The 17,840-nt window shown below is 40.8% G+C and overlaps 1 protein-coding gene and 1 pseudogene across 45 annotated transcripts in view; both read right to left on the bottom strand.

The window, feature by feature from the left end:
• KANK1 (KN motif and ankyrin repeat domains 1) overlaps positions 1-17,840 on the bottom strand; it is a 275,809-nt gene that overhangs the window by 81,053 nt on the left and 176,916 nt on the right. For 4 of the 45 annotated variants that reach the window (XM_047423046.1, XM_047423070.1, XM_047423064.1 and 1 more), the window contains exon 1: positions 2,796-3,052. The exons of 39 other annotated variants lie outside the window; for them this stretch is intronic. The gene's annotated coding sequence lies outside the window, so the exon portion shown is untranslated. Of the gene's footprint in view, positions 1-2,795; positions 3,053-11,641; positions 11,790-17,840 lie in introns of those variants that run through there. 2 more of the 45 variants (XM_024447467.2, XM_047423063.1) reach the window with 1 other exon arrangement.
• EIF1P1 (eukaryotic translation initiation factor 1 pseudogene 1) lies at positions 4,530-5,162 on the bottom strand (annotated as a pseudogene).

The raw sequence follows: 17,840 nt of genomic DNA, 5'->3' as shown, positions 1-17,840 counted from the left end.
TAAGGAGCTCAAACAACTCAATAGCAAAAAGTCATTAATCTGATTTTAAAAAGGGCAAAAGGCCTGAACAGGTATTTCTCAACAGAGGACAAATGAACAAAGGGTATAAGAAGTGCTCAACATCAGTAATTATCCAGAAAATGCAAATCAAAACCACGATGAGGTATAATCTCACCCCAATTAGAATAGCTTTTATCAAAAAAGACAGGGAATAACATGCTGGTGAGGATGCAGAGAAAGAAAAATCCTCACACATTGTTGGTGGGAATGTAAATTAGTACAGCCACTATAGAAAACACTTCAGAGGTTCCTCAAAAATGTAAAAGTAGAATACTATATGATCCAGCAATTCCACTACTGAGTATTTCTCTAAAAGAAAGAAAACCAATATATTGAAGAGAGATCTGTACTTGCATGTTTATTGCAGCACTATCCATAATAGACAAAATATGGAATCAACCTAAGTGTCCATCAATGGATGAATAAAGAAAATGTGGAGGCCAAGGCAGGTGGATCGCTTGAGTCCAGGAGTTTGAGACCAGCCTGGACAACATAGCAGGACTCTGTCTCTACAAAATAATAATAAATATTTAAAAAGAAAGTGTGGTAAAAATACACAATAGAATATTATCCAGCCATAAAAAGAATTAAATCCTGTCATTTGGAGCAAGATGGATGAAACTGGGGGTCATTATGTTCAGTGAAACAAGCAAAGCACAGAAAGACAATGTCGCATGTTCTCACTCATATGTGGGAGCTACAAAACTGAATCTCATGAGGATAGAGAGTAGACTAGTGGTTACCGGAGGCTGGGAAGGGTAGTGGGGATGGGGAATGAAGAGCAGTAGATTAATGGGTACAAATACACTTAGAAGAAATAAGACTTGGTGTTCGATAGATCAGTAGGACAACTACAGTTAACATTAATCAAGTGTAAAGATCTCATGAAAACTCACTATTACAAGAACAGAATCAGGGTAACTGCCCCCATGATTCAATTACCTCCCATCGAGTCCCTCCCACAACACACGAGATTATGGGAACTACAATTCAAGATGAGATCTGGGTGAGGATACAGCCAAACCATACGACCTTATTTGAAGAGTTCCCATGAGAGCATCTGCCTCCTTGTGTCCCAAAGTGGGCATGAGTGTGTTCAACCTTCCTAGAAACCTTCACTGCTCATCCATTCTACATCATGAAAGTAAACATCAGTATCTTTCCAAGAGTGTACACAAGGGCTGCACTGCCAAGGAACAGGTTAAAACCATCTCAGAGCCTGCAAATGCTTTCAGAATCCCGTGCTGGCTCTGCTCCAGCTGGGTCTGAGACCCACGCAGCTTCCTGAACATTTAAAGATAACTGACACTTCCAGAGTTTCTTTCCAAGAAACTGTCTATGGTGAAGGTTTATCAGATCATGAAAACCTAGGCGGAAAATCAGCTGTTCTGCTACAAAAGAAAGCAGCAATAGATAGTCTAAAGAAGAGCATCAGAATGAAAATCAGAATGATTAAACTTTCTCTTTTTCAGTTAACCAACTTTATGTTTCTTCCTGACTTGGGAGGAAAATAATTTTATGACTCGGTATAGGTACATTAAAACAGTATTTACTGATTTGCTTTCATTTGTTTGTAATAGATTTAGGGAAAACAGACCCTGGCAGACACCTAAACCTTGACTTTATAAATATGACTGTGTTAGTGGGGTCTTGCTCTTACTGAGCAAGCATTCCTACTGCTGGTAGTTTCAACTAAAACATCAGTGCTTTTACCTATTTAAGCATTAAAGAACAACAATGTAGTAGCCACAGATATAAGTTAGTTTAGTACGATTTGAAAGGCTTTCTGTTCATTTATTTATTTTAAATGTACAGTTCTCATTTATTTTCTGCTTAGCAAAAATTTTTCCTTTAATTCCACTGAGATTGGATTCTTGTATGACCTTCTCTGATCAACTCTTAAATTGATGAATATTGTTAATGACAAGCTCGTGTGTGCCTGGGACTGTCACTAAGTAAAAGGGGGACATGTAACACATCCTCAGATTTATTTTTTTCTGAAAACAAGTTTTAGTTAAATAAGGGTTTAGGCCTGGCGTGGTGGCTCACGCCTGTAATCCTAGGACTTTGGGAGGCCAAGGTGGGTGGATCACCTGAGGTCAGGAGTTTGAGACCAACCTGGCCAACAAGGTGAAACCCCATCTCTACTAAAAATACAAAAATTAGCCAGGCGTGGTGGCGGGTGCCTGTAATCCCAGCTACTCGGGAGACTGAGGCAGGAGAATCACTTCAACCCAGGAGGTGGAGATTGCAGTGAGCTGAGATCGCGCCACTGCACTCCAGCCTGGGTGACAGAGCAAGACCCTGTCTCAAAAAAAAAAAAAATTAACTTTTGTATAAGGTGTAAGGAAGGGATGCAGTTTCAGCTTTCTAAATATAGTTAGCCAGTTTTCCCAGCCCCACTTATTAAACAGGGAATGCTTTCTTCATTTCTTGTGTTTGTCAAAGATCAGATGGTTGTAGATGTGTGGTGTTATTTCTGAGGCCTCTGTTCCATTCCATTAGTGTCTATCTCTGTTTTGGTACCAGTACCATGCTGTTTTGGTTACCGAAGCCTTGTAGTATAGTTTAAAGTCAGGTAGCGTGATGCCTCCAGCTTTGTTCTTTTTGCTTAGGACTGTCTTGGCAATGCGGGCTCTTTTTTGGTTCCATATGAACTTTAAAGTAGTTTTTCCCAATTTTGTGAAGAAAGTCATTGGTAGCTTGATGGGGATGGCACTGAACCTATAAATTACCTTGGGCAGTATGGTCATTTTCACAATATTGATTCTTCCTATTCATAAGCATGGAATGTTCTTCCATTTGTCTGTGTCCTCTTTTATTTTGTTGAGCAGTGGTTTGTACTTCTCCTTGAAGAGGTCCTTCACATCCCTTGTAAGTTGGATTCCTAGGTATTTTATTCTCTTTCAAGCAATTGTGAATGGGAGTTCACTCATCATTTGGCTTCTACCCATCTGACAAAGGGCTAATATCCAGATTCTACAAAGAACTTAAACAAATTTACAAGAAAAAATCAAACAACCCCATCAAAAAGTGGGCGAAGGACATGAACAGACACTTCTCAAAAGAAGACATTTATGCAGCCAACAGACACATGAAAAAATGCTCATCATCACTGGCCATCAGAGAAATGCAAATCAAAACCACAATGAGATACCATCTCACACCAGTTAGAATGGCAATCATTAAAATGTCAGGGAACAACAGGTGCTAAAGAGGATGTGGAGAAACAGGAACACTTTTACACAGTTGGTGGGAGTGTAAACTAGTTCAACCATTGTAAAAGACAGTGTGGTGATTCCTCAACGATCTAGAATTAGAAATACCACTTGACCCAGTGATCCCATTACTGGATATATACCCAAAGGATTATAAATCATGCTGCTATAAAGACACATGCATATGTATGTTTATTGCGGCACTATTCACAATAGCAGAGACTTGGAACCAACCCAAATGCCCATCAATGATAGACTGGATTAATAAAACGTGGCACATATACACCATGGAATACTATACCGCCATTAAAAAGGATGAGTTCATGTCCTTTGTAGGGACATGGATGAAGCTGGAAACCATCATTCTGAGCAAACTATTGCAAGGACAGAAAACCAGACACTGCATGTTCTCACTCATAGGTGGGAACTGAACAATGAGCACACTTGGACACAGGGCGGTGAACATCACACACTGGGGCCTGTTGTGGGGAGGGGGAAGAGAGGAGGGATAGCATTAAGAGAAATACCTAATGTAAATGACGAGCTAATGGGTACAGCACACCAACATGGCACATGTATGCATACGTAACAAGCCTGCATGTTGTGCACATGTACCCTAGAACTTAAATTTAAAAAAGGGGTTTAAATACATTACACATAACATTAAAACTGGAGGGGAAAAAAACAAACAAACCTCAAAACCAGTTGGTTACTTTCCATGAAATTGGACAGCTGTTGCCATTAAGTTGCAAGCTCTACAGCTAGCTACATGACTGGTACATCAGTTTTGAGATTTGTTCCCTTGTCAAAGGTTTAACTTTGATGGAAGGTTGGTCTCACATTCTGGTGTTTGGACATCCCTTAGCTAGGGCATGTCTGGTCAAAAAGACCTTTGTGGCAAGCCAGATGTCCTATCACCTCGCTATTGGGAAGGGGGCCTCTCTAAAACTCTGCACCTGGTCAGGTTATAGACACCAGGGGATCTTTCTTTGACCACCAAAGGCTCCCTTCCAGTGGTAGAGTTGCTGTTGCTGCCTTACCCCATCCTCTCCTCTTAGATTCACCGAGGATTGTTCGGGTGGTGACAGTCTCTTAGGGCAGGGAACTCTGCAGAGGGAGAGCGGAGGAGCTTCTGGCCAGACGTAGTTGTCTATGATCTTAGGGGTCTAGGTGTGGCTGAAACATGACAGTATTGCTTTGTTTCAGACTTGACACTGCCAGGCGCCTACTGCTTGACCTCTGTTTAAATGAGGGACTTCAAGACTAGACAGCATGGCTCTTTCAAGTTTACTGCATGAAGGAATTACACTAGGTCAAGTTAAAAGCAGACCACAAATGGTTACATTATACAAAGCTGTGAGGTTTTTAAACTTGTGACAAGGGACAGAAAGGAAATTCTACTCATTGCAAGGAAAACCTCATTCAAGCTTCAGCGAGCCACAGCAGTTAAAACCCATGAACATTTAGCTGGTTGTCCTTAGCCATTCCAATCTCTAAGAGGAACTGGCACATGTTCTTGTGCTGGTCACCCTGTAGCTGAATGACCTCCATATTCTGGATGCTCAATTACAGTATCATTGCAGGCAAATTTCTTTTTAAATGCCTTCATTGGTTTCTTTTTATCATAATCATCAGCAGTCCCTTGGACAGTAGTAAGGGTCTTCCTGCCATTTCTCTGTTGGATGAATTCTTATATGGATATAATCCTCAGTGCCAGCAGGACAGGTATCACCCTTACTTGTATCAGCAAAGGGGTGGAAAGAGTGGAGGTTCTGGACTGTGGACATACGATTGTTTTTCCTCAGTGGAAATGGCTGCAAAAGCGGGCGGTGGCGGGAGAAGGGGGAGATGAGTCCTTGGCAGTGGCGGCTCAGTGACTCGGGCCTCTTCAGATTCTTAACGTTAAAACACTAGTGCTTGATACGGTTTGGATTTGTGTCCCCACCCAAATCTTATGAGTTATAATCCTCCGTGCTGGAAGAGGGGCCTGGTGGGAAGTGATTAGATCATGGGGGCGGACTTCCCCCGAGAACTGGTTGTTTGAAAGTGCATAGCATTACCTTCTTCCCTCTTTTTCTCCTGCTCCCACCACATAGGACGTGCCACCTTCCCCTTCGCCATCCACCATGACTGTAAGTTTCCTGACGCTTCCCAGCCATGCTTCTTTACAGCCTGTGGAACTGTGAGTCGATTAAGCCTTTTTTCTTTATAAATTACCCAGTCTCAGGTAGTTCTTCATAGCAGTACAAGAACAGACTAATACAGTTCTCAAAGTGGGTTCCCAGAACAGCAGCATCAGCATTATTTTCTGGGAACTTATTAGAAATCCAAATTTTGGGGCCCATCCCAGACCTACTGAAGCAGGAACTCTGGGTTTGGGGCCCTGCAATCTGCATTTTGATAACCCGCTAGGTGACCCTGAGGTAGGCCAAAAGTTCTCAAAATCCCTATCTTCAAAGATGGGTTAACTGGGAAAAAAATTATGCCCTAAGGCTCCAAGAGCCAAGAATATCCTCTAATTTTAAGAAAATGATACCTAGGGATTTAGAAAACATCCCCCAGGAAGCCTAACTTTGTTTCACTCATTTATTCAAAAATATTGACTGAGAACTCAGCATGTAATAGGCACAGTGCTGGGCACTACAGTGGTGAACAAAATAAACTCAGTTCTTGCCTTTTTGAGGCTTATAGGCACGAACTATATGTGCACAAACAAAAAAAGTTATAAACGTATTATGCTAAATGCTACGAAGGAGAAAAAAACAGGTGTTGAGTGAGAATAACAGAGGTACCCTTCCTTAGGACTGAAGTTGAGGGTATGCAGATGTATAGGAATGGGTGGTCCTTAAGGGTCTTTCCACGGAAACAACATTGAAACTAAGACCTGAAGGATAAGTAGGAGTTAACTAGGGGAAAGGTGGAAGGTAAAAATGGTCCCAGGAACAGCATACAGCCCAGAAATAGACCCACACAGATGTGCCTATGCGATTTTTGACAAAGGCATTTCAGAAAAGAAAAACTCTTTCAGAAAAGGAAGGAAAGTCTTTTCAACAAACAGTGCTACAGCAATCTGGTATCTATAGTCAAAATAATGAATCTTCTTAACCGTCTGTCTTATACAAAAGTTAATTCCAAATGAATCTTAAATCTAAAATTAAAAAAAAAACTATAAAACTTAAGAAAACCTAGAAGATCTTTAAGACCTAGGGCTTAGAGAGGTCTAGACATAATACCAAAAGTAAGAGCCATAGAAATAAAAATTGACAATGCGGTCTTCATCAAAATTACAATCTTTTTTTTTCTTTAAAAGGTCTGGAGGCTCGGGGCCAGAAAGAGCTCCATATATTTCAGCTACTGAGTTTTTAAGAGAGGGAAAGAGTAGGTTGGGCTGAAGTGAGAGGTAAGCAGAGGCTAGGTTATGAGATTTGCTTAGTCCTGTTGGTCATAGTAGGAAGACTAGGTTTTCTTCTAAGTTAAAAGTCATTGATGGGTTTAAGCGGATGAGTAAAATAAAATAAATGATCTTATTTTTAAGTGTTTTGTTTATGCATAGGCTTCTTACTATCTTTAAAGAGAGGCAGCTCTGGGCTTTGTTTATCATCACGGGGAAAGGACACTGGACATTCCAGGAATAGTTTATTTAGATTTCACATAGAGGATTTCACATTGAAGATATAACCAACCCTTCCATTTAAAAAATACATGTATTTTTTCCACTGTTTAAAGCAGAATGGAACTGGGTATGGTGGTTCATGCCTGTAGTCCCAGTACTTGTGAGGCTGAGACAGGAGTTCGAGGCTGTAGTGAGCTATGATTGCACCTGTGAAGAGCCACTGCATTCCAGCCTGGGCAATTTAGGGAGAGCCTATACCACCCCCACACCACCACCACCAAGAAAACAGAAAGGCTCATGCCAAATGGAAATTTCCCATATTTTCTTGTGTTTTATTAAGAACATAAAAGTTCCTAACTTAAGCTTTACAGAGGTCAACTGTCTGACCTAGAAGGGGCTTTACAATTTGCTGCCTGATAAAAGCTCTCACAATGTTAAATTTATGTTACCAACGCAGCATACGCACCTCACCTGAAAATGGTTATGGGAAAAGCTGTAACCAGAGACTGAATTTGGAGTTTAAAAAGGCAGAACCAAATCAAAACCACAGTATCACCTCATACTCATTAGGATGGCCACTATTAAAAAAAAACAAGAACAAACAACAACAAAAAAACAAAGCATCGGTAGCATGTAGAGAAACTGGAACCCTACATTGGTGAGAGTTGTTGGTGAAACTGTAAAATGGTGCAGCTGCTACAGAAAACAGTATAGAGGTTCCTCAAAAAAATAAGAAATAGAACTACCATGAGATTCAAGAACCCTACTTCTGGGTATATGCCCAAAAGAACTAAAAACAGGAACTCGAAGAGACATTTGCATCCCCATGTTCACTACAGAATTATTCACAATGACCAACATGCAGAAGCAACCTAAAAGTCCATTAACAGATGAATGCCTAAGGAAAATGTGGTATATGCATACAATGGACTATTATCTAGCCTACAAAAAAGGAAATTCTATCACATGCTACAACATGAATAGAATGGAAACTTGAAGACACTATGCTAAGTGAAATAAGCCAATCACAAAAAGCCAAATTTCTATGACACATACATGTAATTAAAGTCATAGAAACAGAAAGTAGAAAGGTTGGTGCCAGCGGCTGGCACAGGGGGAAACAGAGTTGTTTGATGAGCACAGCATTTTAGTCATGTGAAATGGAAAAGTTCTAGAGATCTGTCATGGCATTGTGCATACAGTTAACAATAATGAAGTGTACACTTAAACATTCAGAGGGCAAATCTATGCTATGTGTTTTTCACCACAATAAAAAAAAAGGAAAAAAGTAGAAGTAGCATTTACGGTGCTCCAGTCACACTAAAGGTCAAGCTGCCTTATGTTGCTATCCTTTAGTGGAAATAAACCTCACTTAAGCTTTTCCCTTTTTAATACAGGAGACTCAGAACATTCTCTGCTTTTTTATTGTCACAGGCTCTCCTGCTAGGACAAGCACATCCCTTTAGTGATTCTTCAAGAGTTCTGCTGACGTTCACCTACCCACGCTAGACAGGCAAATATTCAGGCACCGGGAGGGAGTAGGGGCATCTGCCATGGAGATGTCCTTTAAAAATGGGAAATGACTGAAAAAGCCTGATCCCATTCTGTTGAGGAATGCCTTGGAGAATAGCAGTATGGTCACAGACTGACCAATGACAGGCCACACCCAGGAGACAGAGCCTTGTCCCCTGGTCAGCATGAGGTAGAGGCAAAAGGGAAGACCACTGGCTCAGCCCCACCCATTTCCCAAGGACACTTTCATAGCCTCTAATTCAAATATCAACCACTTCTGCCATGTTCAGCTGAGAAAATTCAACAAGCCAGGGGAAACAGATTCCACAGACGGGACTTAAACTCTTTCCTCCTCACGCGAAGGTCTTGTCTCTCCCTCTCTCCTTCTGAACAGGCTCTGACAGCAAGGTCTCAACTCCACCACGCTGGGAAAGGCGCCAGACTGTGGGACCTGCCAGATAAAAGGCTTCACCCCTAACCCAGGCCTGAAAGGTTGGGCTCAAGCCAGAGACACAGGATGAAGCCATGTCCCAAGAAGACTGGCTCCCAGAGCCTGCGGTCTGACAGCAAGAAAGTGCCAAAAGTGACTAGCTCCTGCAACGAGGCTCTGGGGCATTACTAAACTTTCAGCCTCTTAGGGCAGTAACCCCTAAAGGGCAGGGTCTGAGGCAAGGAGGAAGCCAGAAGGCAAGATCCTCAAACTCCGTGAATCCTGGGACTCAGTTACAAAGGGGAAAGGCCTGTTACTACATGTGTCATACTAAAGCAAAATTAATTTACAAACATTTGATTGAAACTCTGAGTAAGCAGGTAGGGAGAAGCAAAAACAAAACGTTTTAGCCATCAAGGGAAGGGAAATAGTCATTAATGGCAAAATATTTATTGTTTCTAAGGTATCTGAAATCTCAATGACATTGCTTTTATTTGTTCTATACTACGTAAAAATATATAAAAACTGTGTGTTGATAAGCACTTACATAGGTCAACACTTTCTAACCACCTCACTACTCAAAGTGTAGACCCCTGGGCAATCTTAGCAGCATCTGCCTGACTTGATTTAAAAAAGCAGCATTTTGGGCCCTACCCTAGACCTACAGAATCAATCTGCATTCCAGCAAGACCCCCAGGTGATTTGTATGCACACTGAAGTGGAAGGAGCACTGGTTTAACCTTTATTTTTCCTCATCAAGTCTTAAGCTTCCTAACCCATTACCTTTTATCTGGAGCAACCTACAGTAATGGTTCACAATCTTGGATTTTTTTTTTTTTTTTTTTTTAGACAGAATTTTGCTCTTGTTTCCCAGGCTGGAGTGCAATGGAGTGATCTCCACTCACCGCAACCTCTGCCTCCCGGGTTCAAGCGATTCTCCTGCCTCAGCCTCCCGAGTAGCTGGGATTACAAGCGTGTGCCATCATGCCCGACTAATTTCTTGTATTTTTAGTAGAGACGAGGTTTCACCACGTTAGCCAGGCTGGTCCCGAGCTCCTGACCGCAGGTGATCCACTCGCCTTGGCCTCCTAGAGTGCTGGGGTTACAGGCGTGAGCTACCACGCCCGGCTGGATGATTATTAGAATTACTGTCTAGGTCTCATCAAAGACCAATTGAACTAATCTCTGGGGGTGAGACCTGAGCAGAAGTATATTTCAAAGCTCCTCCAGGAGATTCCAACTGCTACATTTGAGAGTTATTGGTCTATTCCAGTGGTTCTCAAAACGTGTTCCGAGATCAGCAGCATCACCATCACTAGGGAACTTGAACTTGGCAGAAAACCACATTTCTTTTTCCTTCCTCCCTTTATCTCTCTCTCTCTCTCTCTCTCTCTCTCTCTCTCACACACACACACACAAATGCATATTGTGACTATGCTTATTAAAAAGGAACTCAGTAAAACTTGAGGAAATTCTCAGAAAGCAGGTATTCTGGTATCTCTTTCAAACAATATATTGGTACCTGAAACAAAAATATTTATGTCTTAGAAGGGTGACTTAAAATTCATTTAAAAATGTGGATGCTGCTAGGTGCTCATGGGCTCATAGGGTCAAAGCAGACAATGGATGAGAAACGATTGAGTGGTAAATATATTACATTGTCCCTTCTGGTTGAGTTAGTGTTTGAAAAAAAAAATTCTATTGTCCTGTGAGTGGTTTGCAAACAAGTGACACTCTATGGGGCTTACCTGATAGCAAGAGAATAGTAGTTCCTCCAGATCTGGTAATATACTATTCCAAGATTCTCCCAGAGATTTTGATTCAGTGAGTCTGACATGGTGTTAAAATTTACATTTCTAACAAACATTCTCAACTGATTCTTGTCTTCAGCAAAATTTGGAAAACACCCTGCCTTCTAAGACTGTTATTCTCTGGGCCACTGTTTCTCAAAGTCTGGCCGTGGACCAGTGATGTCAGCATCACCTGAGGACTTATTAGAAATGCTTGGGCCCCACAACGGGCTACTGAATCAGAGACTCTTCAGGTAAGTCCAGTCATCAGTGTGTTAACTGCTGCATGTGGTCATTTTCAAAACTTACATCTTTTAAGTAAAAACGATCTGCTCTTATTCAAATACCTAATTTCTGGTAAGAAGCCACTCAATTTCAGCCTCAGTTTGTGTCTTTCATGTGGAAGCATGAAAGGGCATAATGAACAGTCTTTGGCTGTAACCAGGAAGTATCCATGTGGAAAGGAACAGGGTGGCACACTCTGCAAAAAATGAAAGCAGTTGTGCTAGTGTGATGGGAGCTTTAAAAAGTATTACATAATTTTACTTTTATTGGAATGACAATCTAACAGCAACTGTAAACACAAAGACAACACTAAGTATCCAATGTGATGAGGCTTGTTCATCTTCCTAGTTGCTATCCTCTCCTTCTTTTTTATTTGAAGAAAACATATCTGCAACAAAGGTATGAAAACCAAACCAGATCACAGTTCTGTTACCTCCAAATGCAAAAGAACTGCTTGAAAACAGGGGAGCACAAGACAAAGGACATTCAGAACCCAGGGACAGGCTTTACAGGGCTCTTGAAACCTCCGAAATCAAATGCAAAGTTTTGTGGTTTTCAGCAAACTTGCATCGTTCAAGGGAAAGGTTTTGCAGCCTTTATTAAATATCCAAAAGAGGCCAGACCCAAGGAAAGTCAATAACCTCTGAATTTCCATGTATCTCACTGAATGCAGATCTGAACAAAAGTCCTATTAATTTAATCTTCTCTTATATGACAAAAAAAATTCTCTTACCTGGAAACCTTTTGCTCTGGCCTTAAAAACTGCTTGTGAGAACTGGAGACTCATCCACCAGAGCAGAGCTTGGAGACAAGCAAAGTAGTAGCACTAGAGAGACCACGAGCCTGGGAACCGCATTTTCATTTCCAGTTGGCCTCGAACTACCTCTGGGACTCTGGGAACGTTACTTAAATGCTCTGGGCCTCAGACTCTTCATGTCCAGACTAGGACAGCCCTAATGACACTTCCAGGCCTGACAGACATTCTATGATTATGCTCTTCTAAATCCTGGGCCCAAAGGGAACACAAGGCTTCCTTGAGCTGACGTTGCTAAATAAAGTTAAGGCCATATGGGATGCTGTGTATGAGTCAGCAGGACACAGGTCTTGCCTCACAGGACCCAGCTGTGCGCAGAAAGCTTCTCTGGCACAGTGAGGACTATTCAGAGAATTCCCACCGCCAACGCCGGAACAGATGCTGAAACACCTGGGCTCTGTGTTCTCCTCTAACTCAGCTCCCAGGGTGGCTACTTTTTCCCCATCCCTTCCAAATTAAGTTTTCTATTCCCTCTCCATGTACTAGTACTAAATATTCAACAATAAAGAAATGCATGACAGAGAAAGTAAAAAATCAGCCGTAATTCTACTACTATCAACGCTTTGGTGTATTGCTTCCCAGTTCTTTCTTGTGGTTTTATAAGCATGTATGTACCTATACATTCTTCCCAAATGTTCCTTTGTAACTTTTAACTTCATATTATAGTCATCTTCCTAAGATAACAACCACATCTCTCTTTTATGGCTGCATAGTATTCCCCTTTCATCTTTGTCTCATTTGACCTTCCTTTATTGTTGAATATTTAGATTGTTTCTTCACACTGCAAACACTTTATTTTACTTTTGAGACACAGTTTCGCTCTTGTCGCCCAGGCTGGAGTGCAATGGCACGATCTCGGCTCACTGCAAACTCTGCCTACCAGATTCAAGTGATTCTCTTGCCTCAGCCTCCTGAGTAGCTGGGATTACAGGTGCAGACCACTATGTCTGGCTAATTTTTTTGTATTTTTAGTAGATACGGGGTTTCACCATGTTGGCCAGGCTGGTCTCGAACTCCTGACCTCAGATGATCCACCCGCCTTAGCCTCCCAAAGTGCTGGGATTACAGGAGTAAACCGTCGCACCTGGCCCACACTGCAAACACTCTGATGAATGTACTTCTACATATAGCTTTCTGTACCTGTCCAATAATTCCAAACACATATTTGCAATAATTAATTATAAATGGGTAAATTACAAGAAATGAATCTGTGAGATGAAGAAAATAGGGCCTACACATTCTAATGGATAATGTCAGGTTGTCCTTCAAAAAGCAGGTATTAATTTATATTCTCTCCAAAATGTTATAGCAGGGCTAATGAAACTAGATTCCATTCCTAAATTTATTGCTTTGAACATAGTAAACACATCCTCAAAACAATGTTTCAAAAATCCCAGTATACTATTAATTTTAATATAGCAACTTTAGTTTTTTATCATGGGATTCTACATTTATTTTTCATTTCTGGCTCAGAGCAATTTATATTTTATAAAACTCAACCTCTGTATATCATACAAACATTATCTATGTTGGTAAATTTGTAGATAATTTTTGAAATTCTCTCATCCACAAGTCTAAGAACTGAAAATCCCTAACTCACTTAGAGCATTTCATTATCCACTACATTATATGGAGCCTGATGTGTAAAACAATTAATCAAAATAGAGATGTGAATGAACTCCAGACTTCTGTCCTAAGACTGAAGACATCATTGTGTTGAGAGAACAGGCTGAGTATGGAACAGAGTTGGAGCCAAGGTAACTTGTGGAACGAACAAGCATTCCTTTATCCTTTCAACAGAGGATGTATCCAATGCATGGTACTTACACATACACCCAACACATGCAGATGCTTAGGGAAAATGCCAGTAAGTCACAGAAGAAAGTTCTAGCTATTCCTGCCACTGTTAGGCCACGTTTCCTAAATTAGTATGATGGAAGCAGAAATTAACACAGCCAACTCTGTATTATATAAAAAGACAGAAAATTTTTCAGGAATTTTGAAGCAATGAAACAAACTAGATTTTCTTAAAAGGAAGAGAACAAAGAATATAAAGAAAAATATAAAATGCACATGTATTAACACACCACTTGTTTTGGAGGTGCTCTTACAGAAATAAAACCCCATTCCTAAGGACATATGTATGATTTTTAGTGTTGTATGACCATAAAATTCTTAGTCGCTATGCTTTAACAATTGAAGGGGTTCCGAAAACTGTCCCGATTCCAAATTCCTCCTTTCACAGATGAGGACTTTTTGTGAAATAGCAGAGGTTAAATAGCCAGAATATAGTCACACAAACTAGTTAGTGGTGGCCCTGTTGCTTTATTTAGAGGTGGAAAGAGAAGGCACATAACATCTTTTTTTCCTTTGACAGAAGCAGGAGGAAATGCAACTCTCCTTTGTGCATTTCTTCTCATTTCCTATTTTCTTAGTCTTCCAGCCCTTCCCTCCACTTCTTTCCTTGTAGCCTTTAATAGATGTAAAATAAGCCGTTACTGGAATTACAAATCCATGGACTGCAACATTTCTTTATTCATTTCATTAGCAGGAACATTGGGCCTCTGTTAGGGATACCTTAAGACTGGTAAAGAGACCGGGGACAATACTTAAGCTTTACAAGTCTGGGTGGTCCCTCTCACCCTAACCTCTAGCTAAAACACAGCTCCTCCTGCCAGTTGAGGGTCTGGTGTGTGCCACTCTCATCTGCATATTTCACAACAGGGATATGCAGAGTCACAGCCCACTGAAGCACACACTTCCTGACAACCTGCTACTCAAGTCATGGCCTGTGGTCCAGCAGCACCAGCATGCTCTACAGCTAGTTAGAAATGCAGAATCTTAGGCCCCCATCCTAGACCCAGGAGTAAGAATCTACATAACAAGAGTCTCACATTAAAGTGTGAGAAGCACTGTTTTAACAGAGATCTTTAAGCCACTTTCCCTTGCTGGAGAGTAAAAGAGGAATCGCACTAAAAATGTTCCATTCCCCTGATTTGTCTTTATTTCCTGATCTTTTACTTTCACTTTGCAAGAATTAAATAATATACATTCTTTGGCTCTAATAAGCACAGAGGCCAATCCCAAACTCCAATACAGCTGCCAACAGAGAAAGGTAGATTTATGTATTTGATTTTAACTCAGCATAATTTGCAATGAATTTGCAAGCTGCCCTGCAATGAAAATATTGGGATTGCATATTAATAAAACAGTAAAGTAATCCCTCCACCTTTATACAAATTTCATATTAATGCTGGCAGTAGGGACAGTTTTATTCTATTATATTGGGGATTGCAAGCAGTCTTACGAAGTAGCACCTTTCCCTCTGCTCAGAAAAACACAGGACTGCAGAATTTTCTCTCTAGGCTTTTGAACCTTTCAATCCTCTTTTCTCATTCTAAAAGGGCAACGGGGATGACGCAGAGAAGCTGCAATGTAGAGCCATCCTTTCAAGCTGCATCGCAACTGTCATCCCATGGGTCACACCAAAGGAGGTGCATATGTGGGCAGGGGGACAAAAGCATTTTACACCTCCCTGGTTGGCTGCCATGGGTGAATGATGGTCAAAAACGAGATCAGTACCAGCTTAACACATAGCTCACAGTGAATGAAAACCTTGATGGGCCTTTAAGAAGGAATGCCAGTCTTCAAGCCCCAACAAGCCATGCTATGGTGAAAACTACTGAAGTGTCAAAGCTACTGTTCTGTGCCACAGTGAACAAACACATGCTTTCGTTTTAACAGCTCATTAGGAAACCTGCTATAGTGTGTAGCTATAATCAGGCACTACTTACTTACATCTGTAAGCTGCATTCCAAGATATTACTGGACCAAATCCACACTCTGTAAATCAGCTCAGCTCAGTGACTGAAGTCAGTTATCACACATCTGTACAATTTCACTAATTTGCTGGCTCTTCATTTAATTTTCTTCTATGCTTTGAGCCAGGGTGACCAGATAAGGTGAGGTCCAAATTGGGACGCTTTCGAGGGTGTTAAAATGTTAAGTAGATGGGATGTAGGGACAAGAGACATAAACCAGGACAGGCAAACTGGGACATATAATCTCCCTACCTGTAAAGAACTAATGGGAAAGAAACAGAGGTGGAGAGGGAATAGCAATAAATAGAAATACTGGAAGACTGCTATGAAGACACTCTAGAAACCAACTATACAACACGTATCTTACATATATCCTTATATGCCAGGAGACTTAATATATTATCTTATTCACGAGATACAGTAAAAACATACCATGGGTACTAAGAAAGGCTGACAATAACGTCAGATGTCAGATGAAGCTGTGCTGTTCTCAGTGTCATCGCCACTTAGTATAAATGCCAACAAAATGATTTCTGGAATGAGAGTCTCCTAATAATACAAACATTCTCCCAGGAACTGCAATTGACATGCAAGTACATTGTTTTCCTCACTTTAACTAGAGTCTCATCCCTGGATTATCTACATGGTTTCAGAATAAAGAGTCTCCCAGCTTCTATTTTAAACCAAACATGACAACTGACATGTCCGCAGCTTTATAATTTTACAGTGTTTTCACATGCATTGTCTTAGATAAGCTTCAAAACAGCTTCATGAGATACTCTCCCCCGCAACAGATAAAGAAATTGAAGCTCAAAGACGTGAGCTCCCCTTGGCCTGCGATTCTGCAACCGCACTTATTACACTCTACCTTTGTTACTATCATGTTGCTCTTCCCCACTGGGCTTTAAGCTTTGCAAGTACGATGATGATGTCATTTTAATTTTCTGAGAGCCTCGCGCTCAGAGCCTAGGATACCCAATGTTCAAAATTATTTTTAATTATCATACTTCTTTTGCATGAATGGATAAATTTCATAAAAAAGGAATTGGTACATTTCTATGTCTGTGATGCCATTTAATGACCCAGAGGTGGCAAATCTTATACATATACGGCATAGTTTTTAAATATGTTGAGATGATCCTATTAAAGAAAGAAGAAAGAGAAACTAACTACTATGCAGTTAATACAAGTTAAAGGAAAAGAACTGGCCAGGCGTGGTGGCTCACGCCTGTAATCTCAGCACTTTGGGAGGCTGGGGCAGGCGGATCACAGGGTCAAGAGATTGAGACCATCCTTACCAACATGATGACACCCCGTCTCTACTAAAAATATAAAAATTACCCAGGCGTGGTGGTGTGTGCCTGTGGTCCCAGCTACTCGGGAGGCTGAGGCAGGAGAATTGCTTGAACCCGGGATGCGGAGGTTGCAGTGAGCCAAGATTGCACCACTGCACCACTCCAGCCTGGCGACAGAGCAAGACTCTGTATCAAAAAAAAAAAAAAAAAAAAGATAACAACCCCCAGAAATGGTGGTCTCTAATCCGTAGACTGGCTGTGTGTGAGGTGCACATGAGAGCAGAGGGTTGCAATGTACTGGGTCAACCGGGTCCTTTAGTGTTCTACCTGATTTCCATGGACTTCAACATCTCTATGAAAAACACTTTCCCAAAATTACCCATGGAAGATCTGGGATTGCGGGCTATTTCGTATCTCTGCTATATATAAGTGTGAGCCAGAAGAATTGAGGTTGTTTGGCACTTTCTTTAGTATTTGTTGTTCTGAGTTAACAAGTAAAAAATAGCTCAGGACATCTGATGAGATTGTGGTGAGAACTTTGGCTCCTAACATTGTTACAATGTTTCCCCTCATTTGACACTATGGATACTCACAACTATACTAAGAGTTTTCTTAAGACCACTCCCCTTAAGGCAAAGTGAAACTTAAAAAAGAGTGGGGATTAAATATATTTTCGTAAGATGAAAGACTATACTAGAAAACTGCACTTGTTTCTGTAGTTTTCACTAGTTTGGAACCTGACCAATGTTAAAGACAGAGAAAGAGACCAAAGAGATATGAAGTGATAGAGTCTTCTTAAAGTTCCTATTATTTATTTCTCATATGTCATAAATATAATAAAACTACAACACAGTATAGTCATTTATAATGCCAAGAATAAGACATCATTACGTAATAATGACATATCTTACCCAGAACTTAGTTGTCTAGTCATAATTAGAAAATTAATGAGAACAGAAATAATCAAATAAGTAAATAAATAATCAAGTAAATAAAGTAATC

Source organism: Homo sapiens, chromosome 9 (genome assembly GCF_000001405.40).
Source record: "Homo sapiens chromosome 9, GRCh38.p14 Primary Assembly".
Classification (NCBI taxonomy): domain Eukaryota; kingdom Metazoa; phylum Chordata; class Mammalia; order Primates; family Hominidae; genus Homo; species Homo sapiens.
This window is presented reverse-complemented; position numbering and strand designations above follow the sequence as displayed.